The following is a 13,257-nucleotide window of genomic DNA, read 5'->3' on the forward strand; positions in this document are numbered from 1 at the left end:
TCATCCCGAAACCATCCCCCTCTCTTCCGTGGAAAAACGGTCTTCCACAGAACCAGTCCCTGGTGCCAAAAAGGTTGGGGCCCCGCTGCCTTGGAGTGATGCCTGCCCTGGATGAAGCAGGGTGGCAGAGGTCACACAGGGATGTGCGCAACAGATCCAGCGTCCCGGGTAAGAGTGTGGTGTGTGGCAGCCATACCCCCACGACCTGGCTTCCCTGCTCCACCTCCAGCTCCTGTCTCTCAGGAGACTCCTCCTCCCTGCACAGAGGGTACAAGCAAGGTGGGGTTACAGCCAGACCATGGCCGAGCCTGCATGCAGGGCACGCACTGGGCCTTGATGAGGCCTGGAGGGAGCTGGTTGCTCAGACAGGAGCCCTGCCTTTCCCTTCAGAGACCCTGACACCCCACACACAGTCCCAGGGAGCGGCTCCAACAAGCCAGGCTTCCCAGTAACTGGGGTGACCGGCGAACGGAGGGGTGACAGGCAGCTTGGCTCGGCTCAGCCTGGCTTCTGCACATCAGCTGCATCTCTTCTGTGAGTGGGGGCAGGCAGGTGGAAGGACACACCTCAGGCATTCTGAGGAGCCAGTTTTGGGTGACTAGGGGCCCTGCCACCCCTACTCCCTGCAGGAGATGCCAAGGCCTTCCTCAGGGCACTGAGACCACGCAGCTTCCAGCCCAACTCCCCAAGCAACGCCTGGCATGGGTTGAGGAGCCTGGTAGACAGAGCCCCCACTCCTAAGCTTCTGACCCAAGGTGTAGAAGCTCCCACCCATGGGGGTGGAGATGCCTACCTCAATTCTCTCCTACTGCCCAGCACAGCGTCTCCCCCAGGGCACACACCTTGAGAGCAGCAGAACTAACATGACATCCCTGGTGAGGGAGTGAACCGCTGCCTGACGGGGGCCAAGGCTGGCAGAGCAGAGACGCGGTCTGTACATGAGGGGAGGTGGTGGCCAGAGCGACAGTGAACCACAGACTAGGAGAAGACCACAGCACACAGCCATGCAGGTGTCCAGGACCGGCAGATCCCAGAGCAGGCAGAAATACCACAGGGCCGCCACGCCCACTGCTTGGTGGACGTGGTCGGCAGAATAATGGTTCCCAAAGATGGCTGTTTGCTAATCCCCAGAACCTGTGAATATGTCACCTAACATGGCAAATGGGGAATGGAGGTTTCAGATGGAATTAAGATTGCTACGCAACTGATGCAATAGGAAGACTATCTGGGATTAACTGCTTGGCCCCGTGTAATCACAGCATCCTTACAAAAGGAAGAGGGAGGTAGACGAGGAGGTTGGGGCCGCCATGTGAGAAGGACTCAGCCTGCTCCTGCTGGCTTTGAAGACAAAGGAAGAACCATGAACCTAGGAATGGCTTTGGAAGCTGGAATAGGCAAGAGCCCCGCCCAGAGCCTCGGGAAAGGAACACAGGCCCGCTGACACCTTTAGCCCAGTGAGGACCATTTCAGACTTCTGACTGCCAGCACTGGAAGATAATAAATGCACAGAGTTTTTAGTCATAAAATTTGTGGCCATTTGTGACAGCAGCAATAGGAAGCAAGCAGAGTAGAGGAGCACAGCTCCCCTTGGAGGCCACTGCTCTGCCAGGAAAGACAAACACACATCCCTCCAGCCACTTCTCCCTCCCACTTGGGGCCCACATCACTGACTAACCAAGGCGTCCCAAACCACGGAGCTGGGCCAGGGCCTCAGAACCCTGTGCCCACAACGGTCAGGCAGCCCGGCTGTGTGGTCTCCTGAGTGCAGACTCCATCAGCTCATCCTCGGCTTCCTCTACTGCAGCTGTGATGGTGCGTCCCCAGATCACTGCCCAGTGCTCACTGTGGGCCAGGCTCTGTGAGAAATGGCACCATCCCTGTCTCCCAGGGTTGCCACCAGGTTTATGGTTCTACCTGTGGGCATTTATTCCCACATCCGTTCCAAGCATGGGTCTTCCACAGGCCCGTGCCTTCGGTCTGGGGGAAGATCAGCACACACCCAGCTTTCTAAAGGGCCCTGTCTAAAGCAACTCCCTCTTGGGTCTCCAGCCCCAGAAGATGGAACTTTCTCAGCAGGCTCCAAATTCACTTGAATGTGAAACAAGAGGAAGATGGAATGAGCACCAGGGCTGGTTACTCAAGGCAATTCCTGCCCAGGAGGTGGGTCCACTCCTTCTCTGCAAACACCTGCTAGAGCGGCCCCGGCAGACAGGGCCTACAGGGGCTGGGGACTGTGGGGCTGGGGCCTGCTTGGACATGGATTGCCCTCATGCCCTGAGAATGATGCAAGCTCATGCAACCCTCCACATCTCCCTGAGGCCACACAGGACACTGAGCTCTATCGTTGGCTACTATCTTCAGGAAATAATCAGTCCAGATTGAAGAGATGGAAAATAGTGACAGGCGACTGTAGGGAATGAAGCAGGGGAAGAAAAGGGAGGTGAAATGAAAATGTTTCTCTAACAGGAAGCCATTGCAAAGAGAAAAATGGCTTCAAGCCCTCAACAGGAAGATCCGAGGCCAGGCCTCCAGCAGGGAGAGACTCTTGCTTTGATTTTTAAGGAGAATCCAGACGTGAGCACCTGTGGGCAACTGTAATGTGCTTGGGAGAAAAAAAAGCTAAAATGTGCAAATCCCAATCATTCTTATAGAGTAGCGCCGAGGACCGACAGCCAGGACGGACATCCATGCCGATGCTTCTGCCAGAAGCTGAGCGGGTGCCGCAGGTGAAAAGATGCCCCCAGCAGGGCAGCAGCAGCCTGTGGTGCCTGGACTTGAAGCTCGTGTGCATTAGAAGCCCAGGTAGAAGCCATGTGCTAAAGGGATGCTGCGTTCCTCGCTGGGCCTGTAAGAGGAAACTCCAGGGTCTCTGTGGGCGAATGTGACCACAGGCCAGGCCAGCAGCAGGGCACGGCAGAGCCTGCGAAGCCATCCTACCTTGAACACCTTGATCTGGCAGCTGGCTGAGTGCAGGTGCTCCGTGTACTCCCCATTCTCGTTCTGCTTAAACGTGTCAATCTGGACTCGAAAGGGCACTCCCTTCTCGCCCCCGTGCTTCCTGGGGGTGAATTCTGTGCTGATGCAGTGTACCTGGGAGGAGAAACGTTGGGCAGGTGGCAAGGAGGCACCAAGCAGGGTGCCCCTGGATCCCCCAAGCGCCCCCTCTATTGGAGGTGTCCTTCCCTGCTTGGTCAGTGCAGGCCTGCCTCGACCTCCCTGCTTTCCCTGACACTCTGTCCACTCCATCAGGCCGGTGGCCTCCCTGTTCCCCTGCCTGCAAAAGACATACACACCCCCACCTTTGTCTCTTTACTGTGGAGGCCCTGCCTGACCAGCTAAGTCCCCACCACTCCCCAGGCCACTGACCCCAATAACCTCAACCTAACTCCTCACCCAGATTCCTCTCCCTTGGCAAATCCTAGACTGAGGGCAGGGACCACAGCACAGCCCTAACCCCTCTCTAATGTCCTGGTGTCCAGGCTACTCAGGCCAGGCTTAAAGGACAACCAGAAGGCTGGAACCATTTCTGTACTTCTGGTAGGTTCCTACTACATAAATGGCACTCGATATCAATGTATTGTTATAATACTGCAATATTATAAGAATCCATACATAACTGTAATAATAACAATGTAATAATTTTTAAACATATTAAGAGTATTGTAATTGTAAAAAAAAAAAAAGAGAAAGAAAAGATCGCTTTTATTGAGTGATTCCTAGGGACCAGACAGTGCTAATGGCTCTGTATTCATTATCTGATTTGTAAGATGGGAGGTTAGAAAACTAAGAGGCTCAGAAAGGGGAGGAGACTTGCTCAAGGACACACAGCAAGCGAGAGAGCCAGGATCAAGCCAGAACCGCAACCACAATGCCACAGTCACATCCTTCACCACCTTGATCTCACATGGCATATAACACAAGGCTGGATCCACACCAGTGCTTGATAACAAAATAATTCATTCAACAATAGAAACTATAATAGAAAAAATGTTTACTTTCAAATGATTTCTGTTGGGAAATACTCATTTATAAAAAGCTTATATATTCTACGGGCAAAACCCAGATAGAATTCTAAAACCCTCCCCACTCCTTTCCCTAAATATGGACCAATGAGCTCTGTGACTCTTTGCAACACTCATTCTCTCTCTCCTGCAGTTTCCTTCCCAGTGACAGGGAGCAGAAGCTCATCCAGACCCTCCCAGATGGGTTAGTTTTGAGAAACTGCACGCAGGCCACCCCAAAGACTAGGTCTTCCCCTGGAGGGCAAGCTCCCTGTGGCCCACCTGAATGAATGCAGAAGCTCTCTTCGCAGGGTCCCACAAAAACTCGACTGCATTCAGCTGGGTCGGGCTGGCCCTGGGGTCCAAGATACCAACAGACAGTGGAATATCTGCATACACACACACACATACAGAAAGTGCAATTGTCAGCCTCTCCCAAATATTTAGGGAAAGACCCCTGTTACAGGTCCCAATTCCTTCGCCCCAATTTGCAATGCCAAAAGCTCTGAAAAAGTTTTGCATAACTTACTGGACGGAAAGCCTGACCTGAACCACAAGCGCTGTGTTGTCTTCACCCCGTTTTGTATGAACCGTCATTTTATTTTGCTACAGAAATATGACCGTGCTTGGCTGCCTGTTGGAGATGTTCCCTGATGCTCTGGGTACACACATCGTATTGTCATTCTAGCTTCTGAATTCCAAAACCCACCTGGCCACAAGGATTATGGGTAAAGGACTGTGGGCCAGTCCCTGAGGCCCCAGAATTCCATTTCCATTGCCCATCTATCTCTGTGATGCTCACGGTTGTCTTCAACACTTATCAAAATCCTTTAAGGCACCATCCTTCCGCAAAGCCTTCCCTGAACTCCCTGTGAGCAGGTCTCTCAATTCCACAGACCTTTCTTTTCCACTGAAAAAGGGGACTCCTCGAGGGCAGGACCCAGTGTATGGTCAGCTCTGCAAGCTCCCGCGGGGTTTTACACAGAGCAGGTGCAAGCTAAAACGCCTTCTCGGCATAGGTCCGGGTGGCATCCAGGAAGAACCCAATGTGGCCTGGGTGCCTCGAGCCTTGCCTGGCCTCTCCTGGCCAGGAGACTCACCGATGTCCAGGATCCGGTCCCCTGGCCGACTCCACCGCCAGCCCTCCAGCTGCTGGTGCTCCGTATACTGCAGCCGGCGGTCATGGAAGACCACACGGATGATGCTCTGGGGAGGGAGGCCAGCAGGGAAACAAGTGACCGCGGGGGGCCAAGAGGAACCCACCTCTTTTCCCTGAGCCACAGTAAACCCTCCCACCTTTGAGGCCCCTCCCCCTGGGGCTTCCTTTCCCAGTTCTCAAGCTTTGCCCACTGTCCCCTCCTCAGATTCCAGTAACACTAACAACAGCAACAACAGTGATGACTACCATTTGTCCCAGTATTACTAAGTGCTTTACGTTATTAACCCTTTTGTGCAGATGAGCAAACTGCAGCTCAGAAAAGTTCAACGCTGCCAGCCCATCTAATCCCCACCTGGGCAACAGGCTCCAGAGAAGCCAAACAGGGGCTGCGTCTCACCGTTGAGGGCTGAGCTGAACCCGGCCTCTCCCTAACCTTCCAGCTACCCGTGCCCAACCCCAGCAAGCCCAGGTGCCCAGACCCTAATCAAGCCCCTCTCCCCGAGGCAATGAGAACAGCCTGTGAGGCTTACCTTGACATATTTTGTGTTCAGATCTTGAAAGTCTCCCAGCTTCCGATTCTCCAGTAGTCGGATTTCATAAGACTGACCTGGATGGGGGTTAAAAGGACATTTTCCATTTCTGAGTATTTCTAAATTTGGGGTTCATTCAGCTAGCAGCCTTCTCAACACCCTCAGTGCCCATCCAGGCCTCAAGGCCCTGGGGAGCAAAGCAGAGAAGAAAACCCACGACCAGCTCAGCTCACTCTCTGGACTGACATCAGTCTGTCCACCCCGCCAGGTCGGGCCTAGGATACCCCAGACAACACACCGTGTGACCCTACTAGAGATAGCACCTCTACAATGTTCAAATAAACAGAATCCAGGAAAATACAGTTAGCATTAAAATCACTGAACACAAACTCATACATCTTTACAAACCCCCCAATACAACGGGATGGAGAACACAGCTACTTAAGTTCACATTACAGGGTAAATAACCAACCACACCCTTCCTGAGAGCAGGTTTGAAGGAACGAAGAAGCCTGTTAAACATTGTCTCTAATGGCAGAATGCAAAGCATGTTCCCCAGTTAAAAGAATTCCATGTATTTGAAAGGGTATGGAAATTATATTCAGGGACATATAACTAGCACAGGCTGGTCAAAGAATATAAATGGAAAAAACATCCATCCATAACAACAGAACATTTAAAAGCATCTATGAAACCTGAAGGAAATGACACGCATTTTATTGAAATATAAAATATACCATGAATAAATAGGATACACCATGTTCCCAGAAGACTGTTATATATATATATATATACACACACACACATACATATATGTATGTGTATATATATATAATCTCAAATGATGATATCTCAAATGATGCCAATTTTCCCAAAATGTATCTCAAAAAATATATATATATAACTCAAATGATGCCAATTTTCCCAAAATTAAATACTGAACTACAATTTTACAAGACTGTAGCATATATCGCAATTTAATAAAGGGTGTTTTACAAATAATAAAATAAATCATTTAATAATTGGTATTGGCATATCTTTTTTTTTTTTTTTTGAGACGGAGTCTCACTCTGTTGCCCAGGCTGGAGTGCAGTGGCACGATCTTGGCTCACTGCAACCTCCGCCTTGTGGGTTCAAGTGATTCTCCTGCCTCAGCCTCCTGAGTAGCTGAGATTACAGGCGCCTGCCACCACGCCCAGCTAATTTTTGTATTTTTAGTAGAGACAGGGTTTCACCATGTTAGCCAGGCTGGTCTCAAACTCCTGACCTCGTGATTCATCCACCTTGGCCTCCCAAAGTGCTGGGATTACAGGCGTGAGCCACCATGCCTGGCCAGTATTGGTATATCTAATTAGCTTTTTAATTTTTTTATTTTTAATAATTATAGACTCTTAAGAAGTTACAAAAATATGGCCAGGCACGGTGGCTCACACCTGTAATCCCAGCACCCAGCTGAGGCAGGTGGGATCACTTGTGGTCAGGAGTTCGAGACCAGCCTGACCAGTATAGTGAAACCCCATCTCTACTAAAAATACAAAAATTAGCTTTGGTGGTATGTGATTGTCATCCCAGCTACTCAGGAGACTGAGACAGGAGAATCACTTGAACCCGGGAGGCAGAGGTTGCAGTGGGCCAAGATTGTGCCACTGCACTCCAGCCTGGGCGAGAGAGTGAGACTTGGTCTCAAAAGAAAAAAAAAAAAAGTACATTAAAGTCCTGTGTACCTTGTGCCAGCATCCCCCACGGTGGCATCTGATGGAACCATGGTACATTATCAAAACTACAGACCTTACTTCGATTTCTCTGGGTTTTGCATGTTCCCTCTCTCTTTTTCTGTAGGCTTGTATGTGTATAATCTATGAAATATAATCACATTTGGAGACTAGCTATTTATTTCAGAGTGCAGATCCTCACAGCAAATATCAAAACAAGTTATCATTGGATTAAAAAGTCAATTTCTTGTGGAGGAACAGGGAAGATGTTGATCAAAGGATACAAATTTCCATTAGACAGGAGGAATAACTTCAAGAGATCTATTGTACAACATGGTGACTATTGTTAGTAACAATTCATTGTATTCTAGAAAATTGCTGACAGGCTATTTCAAGTGCTCCCTCTACAAAAAAATAATAAATGAGGTAATGCCTATGTTACTTAGCTAGATTCAACCAATGTACAATGGATACGTATATCAAAACATCATGTTGCACATGATAAATACAATTCTCATTAGTCAATGTTTTTAAAAGTCACTTTCTTAAGGTTTTATTTTAACATGAATGACTATCAGATACTCAATAAGGAAGAACTTTCTGAACCTAAAACCAATGGAAAGGACATCTGGCTATATAAAATTTAAAATTACTTCTATGTATGAATGTAAAAACACTTAATACAAACTGCAGACTAGGAAGAGCAAACCCAGTGGCTACGGGCATTCTATTCTATTGTATTCTATTGTATTCTATTCCATTCTATTCTATTCTATTCTATTTTTGAGACAGGGTCTTGCTCTGTCACCCAGGTTAGAGTGCAGTGGCACAATCAAGACTCACTGCAGCCTCAACCTTCCAACTCAAGCTATCTTCCCACCTCAGCCTCCCAAGTAGCTAAGACTACAGGCACACGCCAGCATGCCTGGCTAATTTTTTATTTTTGTAGAGACCAAGTCTCACTATGTTGCCAAGGCTGGTCTCAAACTCCTGGGCTCAAGTGATCCCCCAGCCTTGGCCTCCCAAAGTACTGAGATTATAGGCACGAGCCACCACGCCCAGACAAGAGCTATTATATAGCTCAAAAAGCAATTGATTAGTACCAAGACACTCCTGTAGTGGGTTGAATGGTGGTCCCCAAAAAGATATGTCACATCCTAATCCCCGGAACCTGGAAATGTGACCTTATATTTGGAATAGTAGTCTTAGCAGACACAATTAAGATTCTGAGACGAGGAAGTCACCCTGTATTATCTGGGTTGGCCCTCAATCCAAGTGTGCTTATGAGAAACACAAGAGACAGAAAAGAGAGGAGGCACCATGTGACCACAGAGGCAGAGACTGCTGTGACAGGGTCACGAGTCAAGGAAGCCTGGGGCCACCAAAGCTCAAAGGTGTGAAGTCTCCCCAAGATCCCCCAGGAGCATAACCCTGCCGAATTTCCGACTGCTAATCTCCAGAACCGTGAGAGAATCATTTTTTGTTTTAAGTTAATGCATCTATAATTAACACGTTTGTAGCAACTTGTTACAGCAGCCACAGAAAACAAATACACTCCCACCCTCACCAAAGAATAATGGAATGGACAAAGAATATGAAATTAAATCATTCATTCCAAATGTTTGTTCACACCTATCATCCCCGTGCTTTGGGAGGCTGAGGAAGGCTGGTCTCCAACTCCAACCTGGGCAACACAGCGAGCTGCTGTCTCTATAAAAATAACAATAAAAAGTTTGCTGAGCAACAATTTGATGCCAAATGCGGTGGGTGGGAATCCTAGGAACAGAGAGGCCAGCAGAGCCACACGGCACCATGTTCCTGGAGTTGTCACCACAGCTCCCCACCGGCCATGACACTGGCCGAGCACAGCCATGCCCACTGGGTCAGACTCCGTCTCAGCCATTAGGAAGGTCTCTGGTCACATGCCAGTGAACACTTCTTGACCATGCCAAACCCCAGTGCTGCTCATGGTGACGCGCTGGACGCCTTTCCCATCAGAGGGAAGAGGAGCAAACCCCAAACTCTCATCCTGCCCACTTGCCTGTTCAGGAGATGTGACGCCTAAAAAGGTCTTGCTTCCCTATTCAACATGGCTGACTTTCTGAAAAAGCCAGATTGCATACATTTCCAGGCTCCTGAACCAAGAGTCCAACACTCCCTTGATATCAACATAAAACATGCCTCACACACCCTAACTGGTTTTTCCAATGTCCTCTGCCTTCACAGATAAAGAATGCTGACAGCGGCCCTAGCATGAGGCCCAATGTCCAGGTGGTCATTAAGTGAGTTTACGGGTGCCACAGGGCCCAGTTATAGCACTGACCCCAGGCTCTGCAGGGCAACCTCAGCTCACGCCAAACAGCAAGCACCTCCTGTCCTGTAGAGAGCAACTTCCAGGCCTGAACATAAGGGGCAGCCCTTGAACAAAGGGTAAAGCCATTGAGTGAGGCGTTAGGCCCAGGATCACAGCTTCTCCTGGGCCAGGGATCACGGCTGCAGGAGCCTTCTCCATCAGCAGCAGGGTCCTGATCCACACACTTCACCACCAAATCCTCCTTTCTAGCCATGCAGATGGACATCCAGCCACCCTCTGCATGCCTACCCCCGTGCCAACACAGTGGGCCCAAGGTGACCTCCCACCCAACTCACACAGCAGCACAACAGCACCATCCCAAAAGCCACGCAGAAGGCCACCACCCACAGTCACATACAGGCTGACGAGCGAGGTCACACAGGCTGAACTGACCTAGGGCACAAGGGCATTTCTCTGCCTGGCCGACATCACTGCTGGGCGTGGGTGGAAGCCAGGACAGCGGGCTATGAGAAGGCGCGGGTCGTGTCTGTTCTGCTCATCACTGCGCTGTCTGCACACAGTAGGTACTCAGCAAATGCATCCATGGGATTTCACCTTCTTTACAGTGCTATAGTGCTGTTCTCTGTTAGAATTACAGGGTTTGCCAAAGTTAAGACACATTCTTGCCCTCAAAGGGTTGACAATCCTCTGGAGTACATCAAACAGTCCTGGAAGAGCCGTACTATAATGTTTAAAATTTCTGTAAGAGACAAAGGAGGCCCAAAAGTGAGCAATAGGTATCCAGGACGAGGCGGGGAGTGTGAGACAGGTTCGAACCAGGGGATGAGAAAACATGTGACATGGGCTTTGAAGAGTGGGCAGGATTTCTGTAATTCAGGGGAAGAATGATAAAGAAATCCCAAAGCCAGCCAGGTGTGGTGGCTTACACCTGTAATCCCAGCAAGGGATTTTTGGCCTTTGGGAGGCCAAGGCAGATGGATTGCCTGAGGTCAGGAGTTCGAGACCAGCATGGCCAACATGGCGAAACCCTGTCTCTACTAAAAACACAAAAATTAGCCGGGCGTGGTGGCGCATGCTTGTAATCGCAGCTATTCTACTCAGGAGGCTGGGGCAAGAGAGTTGCTTGTATCTGCAAGGCAGAGGTTGAAGTGAGCCAAGATCATGCCACTGCGCTCCAGCCTGGGGGAGAGAGCGAGACTCCGTTTCAAAAAAAAAAAAAAGGAAGAAATCCCCCAAAGCAAAGCACAGCCAGGCAGAGGGGGAGGAGTGCCTCTAGGGAACAGCTGCAAACAGCTCCATTCACAGGGTGCTTATCTGTGGCAAAGCCCACTCAAGTAGTCACTCACCTGGCTCTCCAGATGAGTGGCACTAGCAGTTAGGATCACCTGCCCTCCTGGATGGGGGAAGCAGAGGCTCAGAGAGGTTACCTGACAGGGGCAAGCTCACATAGCTCATAAGTGGCAGAGCCCATGGCAGAATCTCAGTCAGTTTCCAGAACCCACCACACTTGCCACATCCCACCCAGTGGGTGTCACGTGCTGGGCACAAGACAGCTGTAGTTGTCCATGATCCTCTCTCAACCTCTCCTTTCTGGAAGGCATCTGCTTCCATTCTGCACACAGATTAAAGTGTGCCGAATGTTGTACAGCGTAACTCCCCAAGTTAAGGCTTCTGTTTGTTTCCTACGTTCTTAACAATGATCCAGGAGGGAAAACAAATCATTATAGAAGGTGGTGGTAAAGCCTGTTCTAATTTAGGAATTGTAAAATGTGGGGGGGAGGGGGTGAGAGGGAGCTGGTCTTAGAATCAAGGAAATAGGCTAAAAATAACCAAAACTGAATTGTCACGTAGCCATGTGCCAGTACACTGCAAGCCCTGTATGTACGTCATTTCACTTAGTCCACTCGATAATCCTGTAAGAAAAGTCTATTGTTTCCCTATGTTATAAACGAGGAAATTAAGTTCCAGAGAGGTGAAGTGTCCTGTTAAAGATCAAACCTGGTCTGTCTGACGCCGAAGGTGGAACACGTGGCCACTGGGCCACCCCTCCACACCTGCTGGACTACTGCACCCAATGTTTCGTTCTTGCAAAGGTCCCATCTGGCTCCAATATTCAAGGAGTGTATCTATTACATTTCCCCTGAACTTATTTTTTTTTTTTTTTGAGACGGAATCTCGCTCTGTCGCCCAGGCTGGAGTACAGCGGCACGATCTCGGCTCACTGCAAGCTCTGCCTCCCGGGTTCACGCCATTCTCCTGCCTCAGGCTCCCGAGTAGCTGGGACTGCAGGCGCCCGCCACCTCGCCCGGCTAATTTTTTGTATTTTTAGTAGAGACAGGGTTTCACCATGTTAGCCAGGATGGTCTCGATCTCCTACCTCGTGATCCACCCACCTCGGCCACCCAAAGTGCTGGGATTACAGGCGTGAGCCACCGTGCCCGGCCCCCCTGAACTTCTTGATACTCATTTTATTTCAGGACCTTCTTCTACACATCTAAACCCTCCCGCTTCTCCTAAGGTTCAAATCCCTACTGCCCCATGCCCTCAGCTCTCTGAACCAAGATGGACCTAGAACTCTCATGAATGTGTAACCATGCCGTGGCATAAAATTTGATATTCGTTTCCTTGCGATACACTAGTCCCCCTGAAACACATGTTGCCATACTCTGAACATACTGTAAAGTCATGGCACACTAAAGCCATGTGGTTTTGGCACGGGGAGAAACAGAACAATAGGAAAGAACGAGGAGCCCAGACGAGACTTTTATTTGGAAACTTGATACACGACACTATAAATGACGATGGGTCCATCTTTTCTCAATAGTGTGGGATAACTGGTTATCCATATGGAAAAATTAATCCTGACCACTTAATAAATATAATCAATTCTAGGTGGGCAGGCCGGGCACAGTGGTTCACACCTATAATCCCAGCACTTTGGGAGGCCGAGGTGGGAGATCACCTGAAGCCAGGAGTTCGAAACCATCCTGGCCAACATGGTGACACCCCGTCTCTACTAAAAATACAAAAATTAGCCGGGCATGGTGGTGGGCGCCTGTAGTCCCAGGTACTCGGGAAGCTGAGGCAGGAGAATTGCTTGAACCAGGAGGCGGAGGTTGCAGTGAGGCAAGATGGCGTCATTGCACTCCAGCTGGGGCGACAAGAGCGAAACTCCATCTCAAAAACAAAAACAAACAAAAATACAAAAAATTACCCGGGCGTGGTGGTGGGTGCCTGTAATCCCAGCTACTCAGGAGGCCGAGGCAGGAGAACCGCTTGAACCCGGGAGGCAGAGCATAGGTTGTTGGAGGGTTGAAGGTGCACCCAGCAGAGACTGGCATACAGGAGGTCCTGCAACGGCCCCAGGAAACCTCTGGGTCCAGTAAGAGCTTCAGCAGGAGGTAGAACCATACCGGGCAGGAGTGCCTGGAAAGGCTTCAAGGCAACTCCCTCCAAAGTCCTGGCCCAACCCTACACTGTCAGGCTGTTAAAGGCCATTTAAAAGCTAGCAGGGAAGGAGCCCAGATTACTTTGTGATGAA

The 13,257-nt window shown here is 49.7% G+C and overlaps 1 protein-coding gene across 6 annotated transcripts in view, besides 1 other annotated feature; it reads right to left on the bottom strand.

The window, feature by feature from the left end:
• TFCP2L1 (transcription factor CP2 like 1) overlaps positions 1–13,257 on the bottom strand; it is a 68,616-nt gene that overhangs the window by 27,294 nt on the left and 28,065 nt on the right. For 5 of the 6 annotated variants that reach the window (XM_017003902.2, NM_014553.3, XM_047444020.1 and 2 more), the window contains exons 3-6: positions 5,691–5,767; positions 5,102–5,207; positions 4,284–4,390; positions 2,938–3,090 (exon numbers count right to left, since the gene is read on the bottom strand). In XM_017003902.2, coding sequence (XP_016859391.1) covers positions 2,938–3,090; positions 4,284–4,390; positions 5,102–5,207; positions 5,691–5,767 — 443 coding nt within the window. Of the gene's footprint in view, positions 1–2,937; positions 3,091–4,283; positions 4,391–5,101; positions 5,208–5,690; positions 5,768–10,148; positions 10,339–13,257 lie in introns of all 6 variants that reach the window. The other variant, XM_047444021.1, reaches the window with a different exon arrangement.
• Positions 2,373–2,874: an enhancer, noted in NCBI's record as "H3K4me1 hESC enhancer chr2:122003829-122004330 (GRCh37/hg19 assembly coordinates)". NCBI's record gives its function as "activates a minimal SCP1, AML or CMV promoter by ChIP-STARR-seq in naive H9 embryonic stem cells {active_cell/tissue: H9 hESC(naive)}" and the evidence as "EXISTENCE:reporter gene assay evidence [ECO:0000049][PMID:30033119]".

Source organism: Homo sapiens, chromosome 2, assembly GCF_000001405.40.
Source record: "Homo sapiens chromosome 2, GRCh38.p14 Primary Assembly".
Lineage (NCBI taxonomy): Eukaryota > Metazoa > Chordata > Mammalia > Primates > Hominidae > Homo > Homo sapiens.